Here is a 13006-nt window from a genome sequence, read left to right on the forward strand (position 1 = left end):
CTGTTTCAAGGAAATTAATAATTTTCACCAGTAATTCCCAAACCTCCAGTTGGTAAATTGATTCCTGAGCTGAGGCTAAAAATGGATTTGATGGGTCCATTTAATGGAGACAAGTCTTTGGAGGTCCCACCGTGTGTGAGATGTCCTGGGTCTGAGGGCTTTGAATACTGTAGTGACTTCAGAGTTCAAGTATGTTATAGCCTAAGACGGAAGGAGAAATAGACCTGGGCTCCTCATGCTGTCTAAACTCCCGTTTTTATAGGATCTAGGCATGATGGCTAGCTTTTGTTATTATTGAATCTATACCATGTGCTAGGTCCTGTGAAAGGCTTATGAGGTGGGCACTAGCATCATCATCATTAACATTGATTGAATGAATGCCTACCGTCATCAAGTATGCTTGTAAGCACTTTCATTTGTCATCTCATTTAATCTTCACACCACCACTTTGAGAAAGGTGCTGTCATTACCTCTATGTTTTTTTTTTTTTTTTTTTTTGATATGGAGTCTCGCTCTGTCGCCCAGGCTGGAGTGCAGTGGCGCGGTCTTGGCTCACTGCAAGCTCCACCTCCCGGGTTCACGCCATTCTTCTGCCTCAGCCTCCTGAGTAGCTGGGACTACAGGCACCCGCCCCAATGCCTGGCTAATTTTTTGTATTTTTAGTAGAGACAGGGTTTCACCTTGTTAGCCAGGATGGTCTTGATCTCCTGACCTCGTGATCCACCCGCCTCGGCCTCCCAAAGTGCTGGGATTACAGGTGTGAGCCACTGCGTCCGGCCATTACCTCTATCTTATATAATAGATAAGGAAGCTGAGGCTGGGAAAAGTTACTTTGCTTAGGGTCACACATCTAGTCAGAGATGTGCTGAGACCAGGGGCAGTGTCACTCTGTACCATTAGAATAATGCATGTCTGTTGACTAAATAGAATCCCGTCATGACCCATTCTATTTTGGTTTACATACTCAAATGGAGAAGCTGCAGGGAAGGGGTTGATATTTTCTGATATAACCCTATCTTCCTAAAGACATCCTGAAAACCAAAACTAACCAGGGGCTCTTCCGTAGGTGAGAAACACCTAATTTAGTGCTGCAGCAGGTCACCAGCATAAGCTTAGGGAATAGAGGGCGGTCGGACTTCTGAAACCTCTTTCCCTGAAGACATATGACCATTTTGCTTTTGTTTATGGAATAATTTAGCTTCTTTGGTGGCATTTAAAACTGTAGTATAGTACTCAGCAAACATTAAAGAATACATCTAGAATCTGTTCATTCTAAGAAACGATTGATTTCTGTTTCATTTTACTATGAAACTGAAATGGTTTGACAACGTATGTGGCTTGAACAGTTACTGTCAAATTATTTCACGTACCATTACACAAACTTTAAGTCCTAACTTTGAAATTGCTTGTCATTTTCTTTAAATGGTGTAAGCTGATATAAATGAGGCTGCAGCGCCATCCTGTGGCTGAGCTGATTTAATCGTATGTATATTTCCTGCTCAACACCTGCAACATGCTCTTACTGGGGCCATGTTTTAGATATGGATATCATTTGACTTTTTAAAGTTTTTTTTTTTTTTTCCATGAAGAGAATAGTCCTGATGTATCCTATTAAATTTTTTAATTAATAGAAACAATTATTTGTAGCTTTTAAGGGTAAGAAAAAAATGCTACAAATTGAGTCATATTTTGAAAATGGCTTTTCCTGTTTAAACTTGAAAGATGGTTTTTCATAACCCTAAGTGGTTTATGGTGAGCTTCTCCCCTTTGTCAGGGCTCCTCTGTGTAGTGGAAAGAACACTGCATTTGGGAGTTCAAAGACCTGAGTTTCAGCCCCAGCTCTTTTGATTAGAGTGAGTTTAGCCTCATGGAGTCAAGCTAGGTTACTTTTAAGATCTCTTCTGGCACAAAAAACTTTGATTTTCCATAGCAAATCAAATACAATGTGAACAATTGTTAACTGAAGCTATTTTCATTTTGAAATGTGAAATTTCTAATACCAGGAGTCCTGAAGGATTTTAGAAAGATGTGAATTTAAAGGGGAAATTTAGGCATGGCTTAATCATATACCACCCAACCCAAACCACAACAATCTAAATGCAAAAATCTGAAATAGAGATTGTTAGGGAGCAGCAAATGTGAGAAAAATTCGAGGGTTTTTGGTGATATGATTAATTTCATATCAGTTCACAAAGTTCACAACAATAGCAATGACAGCAACAACAAAAACAGCAAGGAATCAACCTTAGTCTAATTTAGAAGAGGTACAGTGTCCACAACCAGGGACTGAAAGCATTCACTGTACTGTGGTCTAGCCATACACCCTGAAAGGATGCTGGCAACCTGGGGTAAAGCCACAGAAGGCCAATCATGGTGGAGAAGGGCAGTGCAGTTCCGTGAGGGATGGAAGTGCTTGGGGATATTTACCCTGGACGAGAGAGCTGAGGGAGAGGGCAGGCTACATAAATGTTTTTAGATTTCTGGATGGCTGTAATTTAGAAGTGAGTTCTGGATTGCTTTGTGCTGTTCTGGAAGACATGAGGACCAATGCACTGGAGGTATATTAAGGTGGATTTTATTTTAGATTATGGAAGTATTTTCCTAGCATGTCATGTACGTTGTCACTTTCTCCATAACAGCACTATTGTAATGTGAAAAAATACCCATTTTACAGATGAGAAAATTGAGGCGTAAAGAGGTAAAATGATCCAGCCACTAGGTGGTAAAATTGGGACCAAAATCCAGGTTTATTTGATTCTAATCTTGGACCATTTCTACTAAGCATCACAGGCCCCAGGCTGTAAGCCTTTTTCATTTTCCTTACCTCCTATACCAGCTAATCTTCAGAATCATATACTGGTTCCAGGCCAACAAATAACAATTGTATCATTGGAGTTAATTCCTAGACTACTGTTGACATGGTAAATGTTAATAAAAATGAGCAGAGAGGCTTATAATAAGACAAGACAGGCCGGGTGCAGTGGCTCATGCCTGTAATTCCAGCAGTTTGGGAGGCCGAGGCGGGTGGATCACTTGAGGTCAGGAGTTCAAGACCAGCTTGGTCAACGTGGTAAAACCCCCTCTCTACTAAAATAGAAAAATTAGCCAGGTGTGGTGGTGCACACCTGTAGTTCCAGTTACTTAGGAGGCTGAGGCATGAGAATCAATTGAACCCAGGGGGCGGAGGTTGCAGTAAGCTGCGATTGTGCCATTGCACTCCAGCCTGGGTGACAGAGCAAGACTCTGTCTAAAAACAAATAAACAAACAAAAAAGACATTTTAGGATGTCTTCCAAAATGGCTTGAGATTTTGAGCTTTTAAATTATCTTTTACTTTTTAAATGCTTGTTTCTTCTTGACACGTTATTTATGGTATTTTTGGTTTGAGTAATCAGCAACTTGTGCTCACAACTTAGAATTTGATTATATTTAATACAATTATCATTATTAACTTCAAATGAAAACAAATCCAATGGTGCCCTTTATTTTGCAGGCCTTAGAGTATCTCCTGTGGGCCAGCATGTGTATGGAGTCCTTGGTCCCGCTCCTGTCACTCAGGTACTTGACATGGCGCGCTACTCTCTACACAGCTGTTTGCCAGTGCTGCTATGACTGCCATGCCGGGATTCACGGAGAGGTATGCTGCTTTTTAACTCTGAGGAGTCGAGTTTTTTTTTTTTTTGAGATGGAATCTGGCTTTGTTGCCCAGGCTGGAGTGCAGTGATGTGATCTCGGCTCACTGCAACGTCCACCTCCCAGGTTCAAGCGATTCTCCTGCCTCAGCCTCCTGGGTAGCTGGGATTACAGGCATGCGCCACCATGCCCGGCTAATTTTTGTATTTTTAGTAGAGACAGGGTTTTGCCATGTTGATCAGGCTGATTTCGAACTCCTGACCTCAGGTGATCTGCCTGCTTTGGCTTCTCAAAATGCTAGGATTACAGGCGTGAGCCACTGTGTCCAGGCCCAATATTTTAAAATAGAGCGTATCCAGCATTTTCTTCCTTAGATGCCTGCCAGGGGAAAAACAAAACCCAACCAAAGAATTGAAATGAAGAAAAGACAAAAGTTCAGCTTTATTTGCACAAATTGGCTTGGCTTTTCCATTGTTTTTCTCTCTCACCCTCCTTTCTGCTCTCTCCTTTATTCTCTATTCATTTTCACCTTCTTTGCTCCATTTCTGAGTAAGATTTTTGGAATTTTAAAAATTAAGATTTTTATTTTTAAATGACAAATAATAATTGTATATACTTATGAGGTACAATGTGATGTTTTGTTGAATGTATGCACTGTGGAATGATTAAGCTAATTAACATATTCATCTTCTCACATACCTTTTTCTTGTAGTGAGAACACTTAAAATCTATTTACTAGTAATTTTGAAATATGCAATACGTTATTGTTAACTATGATCACCATGCTGTGCAATAGATCTCAAAAACTTCTATCTGTTGTCTTTCCATCCTCACTTTGCTCTTGAATACAAGCCACCTTCCCTCCTCGTTTAGTTTTGTGTTCCTTATCACTTAGTATGTACACTCTTGTCTTGCTTTTCTCTGCTAACCACCATTTAGTACACTTTGTTTTTCTTTTGTTTTCTTTCTTTATTTTTTAAGACAGAATCTTGCTCTGTTGCCCAGGCTGGAGTGCAGTGGTCTGATCACGGCTCACTGCAGTCTTAGTCTCTGGAGTATCTGGGACTACAGACACACACCACTATGCCAAGCTAATTGAATACACTTTCTAATGACCATTTAATACACTCTATTTTTTGTTTTTCCTTCTTTCATTTCATTTTGATTGAGTACTTGAAATATAACTTAACTTCAGGCTGGGCATGGTGGCTCATGCCTGTAATCCCAGCACTTTGGGAGGCTAAGGCTGGTGGATCACCTGAGATCAGGAGTTCGAGACCAGCTTGACCAACATGGTGAAACCCTGTCTCTACTAAAAATACAAAAATTAGTCAGGCATGGTGGTGTGCACCTGTAGTCCCAGCTACTCGGGAGGCTGAGGTTGCAGTAAGCTGAGATCGCACCGTTGCACTCCAGCCTGGGCAACAAGAGTGAAACTCCATCTCAAAAAAATTTATATATATATAAATTTATATATGTGTCACTCCAGAGCTTCTATTGGCCTGTAGAGTGCCCCTGTATCAATTTGAAAAAGGCACCTTCTCTACATTATGTGACACCTGGCTTGGTCAGTGGATGGGACCTTGGTGAGAATGAGAAATAAGCACCCCTTCCTTTGGGCCAACACGTTCCTGCACAAGGGTGCATGGTTTGGTATGTGGGGCGTAAGCTGGATTTCTGCTCTAGTCAACCTCTTTGGCTGGAAGTCTTGTGTAGGACTGCCTTCATGGCTGTGCACATGCCTATTCATATCTTGTTAACGACCATAAATAAATCATCTGGCCAATTCACAATTCCATTTAGTTTTTCCTGCCTGAACTAATTCTGAAGGGTTTGATGCTGGTGGCACATAGGCAGAACAGCCTAATTTAACCTTCACGGGTTACTTGTGTAGCTCAAGATACATTCCAGAAAGACAACTCATCATGTATATATATAGTTAACTTCAGTGTACTAGTGGTGGCATATTTTGTTCTATAGCTATTAAGATTATTAGGGAATGGAACTTTTATAGCGTTTTGGCCATTTGATCCCTATTGGGATTTTTCTTTATTGGAAAATGTAACCCTTCATATATGTTAATATTTTGGTTGATCTAGAAGCATCTTCATTAAAAATTATAAATGATGAATGAAATATTTCAAAGAGTTGGTGAAATAAGGGACATGAACTCTTGTTATTGAGTTCTTAATAACTCCTTTGAACTCATTTGTTATCTCTAGAGGATTATAATAATGGTGATATGATTAAATAAGAAAGCCTCCCTTCTTCCTTCCTTCAGATATTTATTAAATACAGTGTGCTGCGTATTGGAGACACAAAAATGAGTAAGATCCTTTCAGGAAGTCACAATTTGATGGTCAATGTGAACAGTTAGGTAGATAATACAGCATGTCATGATAGGAAGGTTAGGATTTGAGAAGAGCAACTGAGGACGTGTGTGTGTGTGTGTGTGTGTGTGTGTGTGTGTGTGTGTGTGTGCGCGTGCGCACATGAGGACGTGCGGTGCCAAATGCTGAGAAGCGATAATCTGTATGGAGCTACTGTTTAAGTGATATTTCAGCTTTCCTTTTTAAAATTTCATAATTCCTAAAGTCACCTTATTCACAGTTTATTAGAGAGTTTAGTGGTTCTTAAATAAAATGATAGACTGGATAAAAGGAGTCAGCATTAACCTAGAGCTTAATTCACAGATTAAATCAAATGCCTGGGAGAACAAAACATTGTCTTTATACATTTTAATCACTATATTCTGATTTATGAATTAAATTTATTTTAATCACATGTAGGCATTTGCTCGGCGTGCTTTGGCTAAAATTGATGAGTTAAGGCAACTGGAATTAATGAGTTCCTCAAAATCCCAGGAAGAATCGCGAAGATATTTTCGAGAGGCCACAATGAAGGTATAAAAATTTCATGAAATAAAAGAAATTTACCACACTCTACAGCTGATTAAATACTTAGTAGTTGGGAAGTGCATCTCATTGTTATTTCATGTATAATTCTGCTTTTTGAGGCAGATGGCAGTGATGATCTTCAAAAGAGGAGTCTTTGAATCTAGAAGAAAAAACAAAGCTGTCTTTAGACCTAAGATAAGAATTAACCTAAGGGAAGTACAAACTGTAAGTCTAAACATGTCTTCTCTCTTTAAGACTCTTTTTGCAGTATATTTGTATTATGCTCCTATGTCTTTCAAGCCTAGTCACTCATTATTAAATTCTGCCCCCAGTTCTCTGCCCTAATGGGTAAATAGAGAGAAGAATGTTTTTCTAGTTTGCACGTAGCCTCGCTTCATCTCTTTCTCAAAGCTTTTGTGTCTTAGCACAATCCCAGTTTTGCAGCCTTAAAGAACAAGAGGCTGAAGAGGAGCCTGTGAAAGATTTCAATGAACTGGCTCTTGCAAATGAATAGGCCTCTGAGTGGTTCTGCACTTGCCTTTGTCTTTGACCACTTAGGGTTAGCTGAGCAGGCGAGCAGGCTTTGAGGCTGTGGAGAAGATGGAGGCACCTTTTCTCATCAGCCTTAGGTTTCACCCTTGGGAATGTTCAGGAGCTAGGTTATCCAGTAGCAACAAACAACACCCGTACCTCAGGTGGCTTAAAACAACAATTTATTGCCTACTGGAGTCATATGTTATTTTAGTTATCAGGGGCTCTGCCTTACAAAAGCTGCTCAGGGCCAGGCTGAAGAGCCGCCTTCATTTCAAACATTGCTGGTCATTTGGCCAGAGGGGATTAAAGAGAGTTCTGGGGGACCTTTCATGGGCATTGATGCTCAACATGGAAGTGACATGAGTCTGTTCTTCTCACATGTCATAACCAGTCACACAGCCCCTCCCAACCACAAGCCTATTTGGCAAACAGTAGTAAAGATGATCACAGGGCAGGGAGTAGGCAAAGTTACACCTGTGGGGCCCTCGGCCCTTTTTCTTCCCCTTGTCTTTTTCTTCTTCTTCTTCCCTTTGCCTTCCTGACTCTTAATATCCCCCAGGGCCCAGTTCTATATCGTTTTGAAGCTCTCCCTGACTGTTCTAGATGGATATACACCCTCTTCTGCGAGCTTCCATGTAGAGATTGAAAATGAATCTGGGGGGAAGGAGGTGAGCAGTTTCTTACAGAAGAGGTGTATCAAATCTCAGAACCTGGAAAGGATTTGGGAAACCATCTGGTTCAGTCCTTTTATATTACAGTTGGGAAAATAAAGCCTGCAATATTTAAATGACTGGCTCAAGGTCACAAAGGCAGCCGCTGGCAGAACCAGAACCAGCATCTCTAAGTCCAGTGCTTGGCCTCTACTCCAATCACTGCTACTCTCTTTCCTCATTTCTTCTTAACACATTTAGGAGTAATCCTTTTTCTTTCTTTTAAATGAATTACTATATTTAAATACAAATAAGTTTTTGGACATGGTACCTTTCCATTGCTACTTAGTGACAATATTGACTACTGAGCCCACAGGTACATTTTATACATCCCTTTTGAGCTATATCCCTTACTAACCAACAGTATATTAATTGGCAAGTATATTAATTAATTTATAGGCAATTCCTTGGATAAGCTTTTAAGCTGCCTGCATCTGGTATTAAGTAGTGATGCTATAGTCTTTGTAAAAGGACAGGGAACAATTTTTTTTTTCTCCCCGGCATTTTTTTTCTCTGAGCAACCAAATTTAAATATCCAAAGTTGCAAGACTGTTGTTACTTAGAATATTATTAGGACTTAACAGTTATCCTGGTAGCAAAACTAAATACATTTTCAAAGAAAAATGTTTAAAATTCCAGATAAAATTACATTAAAAACTAATTTGTATCTGATTTCCCTTAAGATAATTGTTGAATGAAAAGTTCTGGTGATTTTTTTTTTTTAAGAAAAAATTGTAATTGTTTAGTGAGTAGTTGTTTCAGAGGCTAGTCAACACATCCTTTTTATAACGTCATCCTATGTTACCTTGGCATATTTTGCAGAATGTCCTGTTTTCTGTGTATGAAATAATTTTATTATGTTTCTACTAAATAATTTCAATATGCATTGAACATATTTTCTAAAACATTTCTGGGTTTGTATGTAAGTTGTTAACTTATAGTAAATCATTTTGACTCTCAAAAGATTCTTTTAAAGGACTACTAATTCAGACTCCTAATGATTGATTAGTTAGTGATTTATTCAATAAATATTTTTTAAGTACCTGCTATGTGAACAAAATAGATGAGGATTACATTCTAGTGGAGAATTATATCATAAATAAATAAATAATTAAAGCTTGTGATAAATATTAAGAAATAAATAATGATAATGGTGAGGATGAAATGAGTTACATGTAAAGCCCTTAGAATGTTGCTGGCAGGTAGAAAGTAGGTCCTCAGTAAATATTAGCTATCATTGTTTATTTATTTTTTATTAATTCAACAACCATATATTGAGTATCTACTGTGGTTTCAAGTATAGTGGAATATAGAAATACTAAATTGCAGCCCTGGCTTTTTGAAGGGCCTTGGGATAACGGGCAGAATTTGGTTAGACAGGGAGAATAGAGAAAAACATTCCAAGTGAAGGATCAGAGCATGGTCATAGCTTAGAAGCCAGAGTAGGCAAAATTTGCTGGGGGTCAGTGATAAACAGAGCTTGACTAGGAATAGGCACTTGATGTTGGGAAATTAACATAATACATCTCCTAGAGTAGATGTCATGGAGACTGTAGTATTTAAAGATGGAACCAGACTGTACAGTTGTGCCATTCAGATTTTCATTCATCCTGACATTTTAAATAAGATAATATATCCTATGCAGTATATGTGTCATAATTTGTCTAATATTTTATCATTATTACTTTAGTTCTTTCAAATCTTTTTTTGCTATTATAAGTATTGACATCATCCACATCTTCAGACATGCTTATTTTTTTTCTTTCTTTTATTTTCTGTGGATAAAATTCCAGGTGTAGGATTATGGAATTGAAGGACATAAACACTTTATTTCTCTTGATATATGTTGCCAACTTGACTTCCAAAATGAGTATTCCTATTTTCAGGGTGACAACTTGCAAGTACGAATTTTATCACAAGCTGTTATTATTTTGATATTATTATTTGTTTAAATTTTTTTTTTGTTAATTCAGTTTTCATAAAATGGCTTGCCATTTTAACTTTATTTCTTTGAGCCAACTTTTCTTTCATTGTGTGAATTATTTTTCACAGTCTTTGACCATTTATTTACTAGGGATTTTAATTTTTAAAATATACTTGAATGAGCTCATTATTTTTATAGATATTATTATTTTGCTTTTCATACTTGACAATCCATTGTTTTCCTTATTGCTTCAGCTTTAATTCTTTTTTATAGATCTTTTAAATATTTATATTTCAAAATCTTTTAGTTAATATTTCATTTACAGCTCTGATAAATATTCCATTCTTTTTGCTGGTTTTTCTATGATGTTTTTATAAATAATTTCATTCTTTTATTCATTTGGGTTTTACCATTTCATTTTGAATACTTCTAATTATTATAAAGTTAATTATGCTGTTTCAATATGTATTTTTAAAAGCTCTGTTTTAACCTAAATAAAAATCTTAGGAAAAACTCTTACCTCTGTAAGAAAAGAGAAGGTAGGGCATGAAGTTCAAGTTTTGTTGAAGTTTTTTTGAGATGGAGTCTCACTCTGTCACCTAGGCTGTAGTGCAATGGCATGATCTTGGCTCACTGCAACCTCTGCCTCCTGGGTTCAAGCGATTATTCTGCCTCAGCCTCCCAAGTAACTGGGACTACAGGCGCGCGCCACCATGCCTGGCTAATTTGTGTATTTTTAGTAGAGATGAGGTTTCACCATATTGGCCAGGCTGGTCTCGAACTCCTGACCTTGTGATCCACCCGGCCTCCCAAAGTGCTGGGATTACAGGCGTGAGCCGCCGCACCCAGCCCCTTGTTGAAATTTTTAACATGTCAGTTGATCTATGGATTGAAAAGGTACACAAGCTTATGAGTAGGGAAGCTAGTGCTTGCGGGAAAGTAGTTCAAGGCAACTTTATCCCTGCTTTTGTTTTTCTGTCTTTCTGACTTTGCCCTAAGAAGAGAAATAAAAGCAAGGGAATTATGAGGAAATCTTCCAGCTGGATAAGGATTCTAGAAAAGCCTACTAAAACTACGGTTCTTATTTACTGGCAAACTAAATGCAGAGAACAGGTCATTTGATGGAGAGAAGAATGAAGTGTGGCAGGAAGCATGTGCAGGAAGTGCAGTCATTTTGGGCCAGTACAAAGCAGAATGACTGGGAACCCACAGCAGGTTCTAAACAGTCACTAGCCTGTTAGCATAAAGCTGATCAATTCTTTCTTAGAGTTAATTACCACAAACCTTGTTATTTATACTACTAAATACTGTTTCAAATTTTGGCTTGAAGACCTTCTGCATGAGAATATCCTGTGGTGCTTATTAAAAGTGTCCTAAACACTTATTAAAAGTGTCCAGACACACAAAATCTCTGGAAATTTGGTCTTGAATCTACAAAGCACCCCTGAGTGATTCTTAGGTAACCAAAGTTTGAATATCAGTTCCGAAGGCTATAATGAAGATACTATAAAGCATATGGAGATATATGCTTGCTTAATAAGCAAACCATAATAAACAACCTTTTAATGCTGCCTTGGAAACACAAGCATATGAAGAAACAACAAAGTCTTTGATGTAATGGCAGCATGATATCTCTAATGAAATCTGGAGTGACATCTCAAAAAACCATAAAAGCAGGTATCTAATTGTTAGACCAACTGCTCTCTGTTTTAGCATTGTAAGCATGCCTTACTTTTCTTTGCCTTATAACAGGTTTTTTTTTTTTTTTTTTTTTTTGCCTGAGACAGGGTCTCACTCTGTCACCCAGGCTGGAGTGCAGTGGCATGACCTTAGCTTGCTGCAGCCTCTACCTCCCTGGGCTCAGGTGATCCTCCCACCTCAGCCTCCCAAGTAGCTGGGACTACAAGCACATTCCAACATGCCTGGCCAATTCTGAAATTTTTTTGTTGAAATGGGGGTCTCACTGTGTTGCCCAGGTGGTCTTGAACTCCTTGGGTCAAGCAATCCTCCTGCCTTGGCCTCCCAAAGTGTTGGGATTATAGGCATGAGCCACTGCGCCCACAATATAATAGCTTTAACAAATGGACTGAACTTTTTTTTTTCTCAATTTCAGTTATCATGGCCACGAACTGTCACAGAGCGGCTACTGGATGAGATGTTTGATAGCACTGCATCCCAGTTTCTGGCTGTCTTGGAAGCTCTTTCTGATTCAAATAGGCGAATACTGCAAACTGGACCCATTGTTACAGATGAAGTGGAGATTCATGATGTTGTCTCAGAATTGTTTATGGCAGGAAAAGAACTTTTGATAAGTAAATAAGATGTTAAGATATTGTTTTATGATAGAATGATACACATGAGTAACAAAAATTTTAACATGGTAGTCCATACATAGGAAACTGATAACATTTATATTGTTTTTTTTTTTTTGTTTGGTTGTTTGTTTGTTTTTGAGATAAGGTCTCTCTTTGTCACCCAGACTGGAGTGCAGTGGCGTGATCATGGCTCACATTGCAGCATCAACTTCCTGGGCTCAAGTGATCCTCCCTTCTTAGCCTCCCAAGTAGCTGGGACTACAGGTGCATGCCACCACACCTGGCTAATTTTTGTATTTTTTGTAGAGACGGGGTCTCACCGTGTTTCCCAGTCTGGTCTCGACCTCCTGGGACAAGCAGTCCACCCATCTCAGCCTCCTAAAGTGCTGGAATTACAGGTGTGAGCCACTGTGCCAAGCTGATATAATTTATATTGATCTTGAATTCAGAAACCTTGCTAAGGTCAATTGATATTTCAAATAATGTATTAGTAGATTTTTGGGGGGACTTGTTTTGTATATACAGTCATCTATGAATGACTTATTTCTGTCCAATCCTTAATCTTTTAATTTCTCTTTTCTTGCATTTCTTGATGGTTGCACTGGCTAGGATCTCCAATAACACATGGGAAGAAGTGGTGATAGCAGACTCCTTTGTCTCATTTTTTTCCTCAGTTGGAAAGCTTTCAACATTTTGCCATTATTTGAGATATCTACAGAATAATTTTTATAGATACCCTTTTGCAGATCACAGATGTTTCTTGTATTCCTGGTTTGCTAAGTGTTTTTTTTTGTTGTTGTTTTTAATCTTGAATAGTTTAATTTTAGCAAAAGCTTTCTCTGAATTTATTGAGATTTACTGAGTCGATCAAATGGCTTTCTCATTTATTTCTATTAATGTGGTTGATTTTATGGATTGCTTATTTCTGCTTCTCTGTTGAAGGGAGAGACTTTTCTTTCTTGTAATGTTATTTTTAGGTTTCGCTCACAAGGTC

General features: G+C 38.3%; 1 protein-coding gene across 2 annotated transcripts in view, besides 4 other annotated features; it reads left to right on the top strand.

The window, feature by feature from the left end:
* The window catches only part of CFAP54 (cilia and flagella associated protein 54), a 385979-nt gene that overhangs the window by 25859 nt on the left and 347114 nt on the right, over nucleotides 1–13006 (top strand). For both annotated transcript variants that reach the window (NM_001367885.1, NM_001306084.2), the window contains exons 6-9: nucleotides 3493–3636; nucleotides 6422–6535; nucleotides 6653–6754; nucleotides 11811–12009. In NM_001367885.1, coding sequence (NP_001354814.1) covers nucleotides 3493–3636; nucleotides 6422–6535; nucleotides 6653–6754; nucleotides 11811–12009 — 559 coding nt within the window. The remainder of the gene's footprint in view (nucleotides 1–3492; nucleotides 3637–6421; nucleotides 6536–6652; nucleotides 6755–11810; nucleotides 12010–13006) is intronic.
* Nucleotides 1287–1396: a silencer, noted in NCBI's record as "silent region_4746". NCBI's record gives its function as "represses an Ori minimal core promoter by ATAC-STARR-seq in GM12878 lymphoblastoid cells {active_cell/tissue: GM12878}" and the evidence as "EXISTENCE:reporter gene assay evidence [ECO:0000049][PMID:35858748]".
* Nucleotides 6697–7197: an enhancer, noted in NCBI's record as "OCT4-NANOG-H3K27ac hESC enhancer chr12:96915910-96916410 (GRCh37/hg19 assembly coordinates)". NCBI's record gives its function as "activates a minimal SCP1, AML or CMV promoter by ChIP-STARR-seq in naive H9 embryonic stem cells {active_cell/tissue: H9 hESC(naive)}" and the evidence as "EXISTENCE:reporter gene assay evidence [ECO:0000049][PMID:30033119]".
* Nucleotides 6856–7150: a silencer, noted in NCBI's record as "tiled region #8563; HepG2 Repressive non-DNase unmatched - State 24:Quies". NCBI's record gives its function as "represses a minimal TATA promoter and a strong SV40 promoter by Sharpr-MPRA in HepG2 cells {active_cell/tissue: HepG2}" and the evidence as "EXISTENCE:reporter gene assay evidence [ECO:0000049][PMID:27701403]".
* Nucleotides 7198–7698: an enhancer, noted in NCBI's record as "OCT4-NANOG-H3K27ac hESC enhancer chr12:96916411-96916911 (GRCh37/hg19 assembly coordinates)". NCBI's record gives its function as "activates a minimal SCP1, AML or CMV promoter by ChIP-STARR-seq in naive H9 embryonic stem cells {active_cell/tissue: H9 hESC(naive)}" and the evidence as "EXISTENCE:reporter gene assay evidence [ECO:0000049][PMID:30033119]".

This window comes from Homo sapiens, chromosome 12 (genome assembly GCF_000001405.40).
Source record: "Homo sapiens chromosome 12, GRCh38.p14 Primary Assembly".
Taxonomy (NCBI): Eukaryota; Metazoa; Chordata; class Mammalia; order Primates; family Hominidae; genus Homo; species Homo sapiens.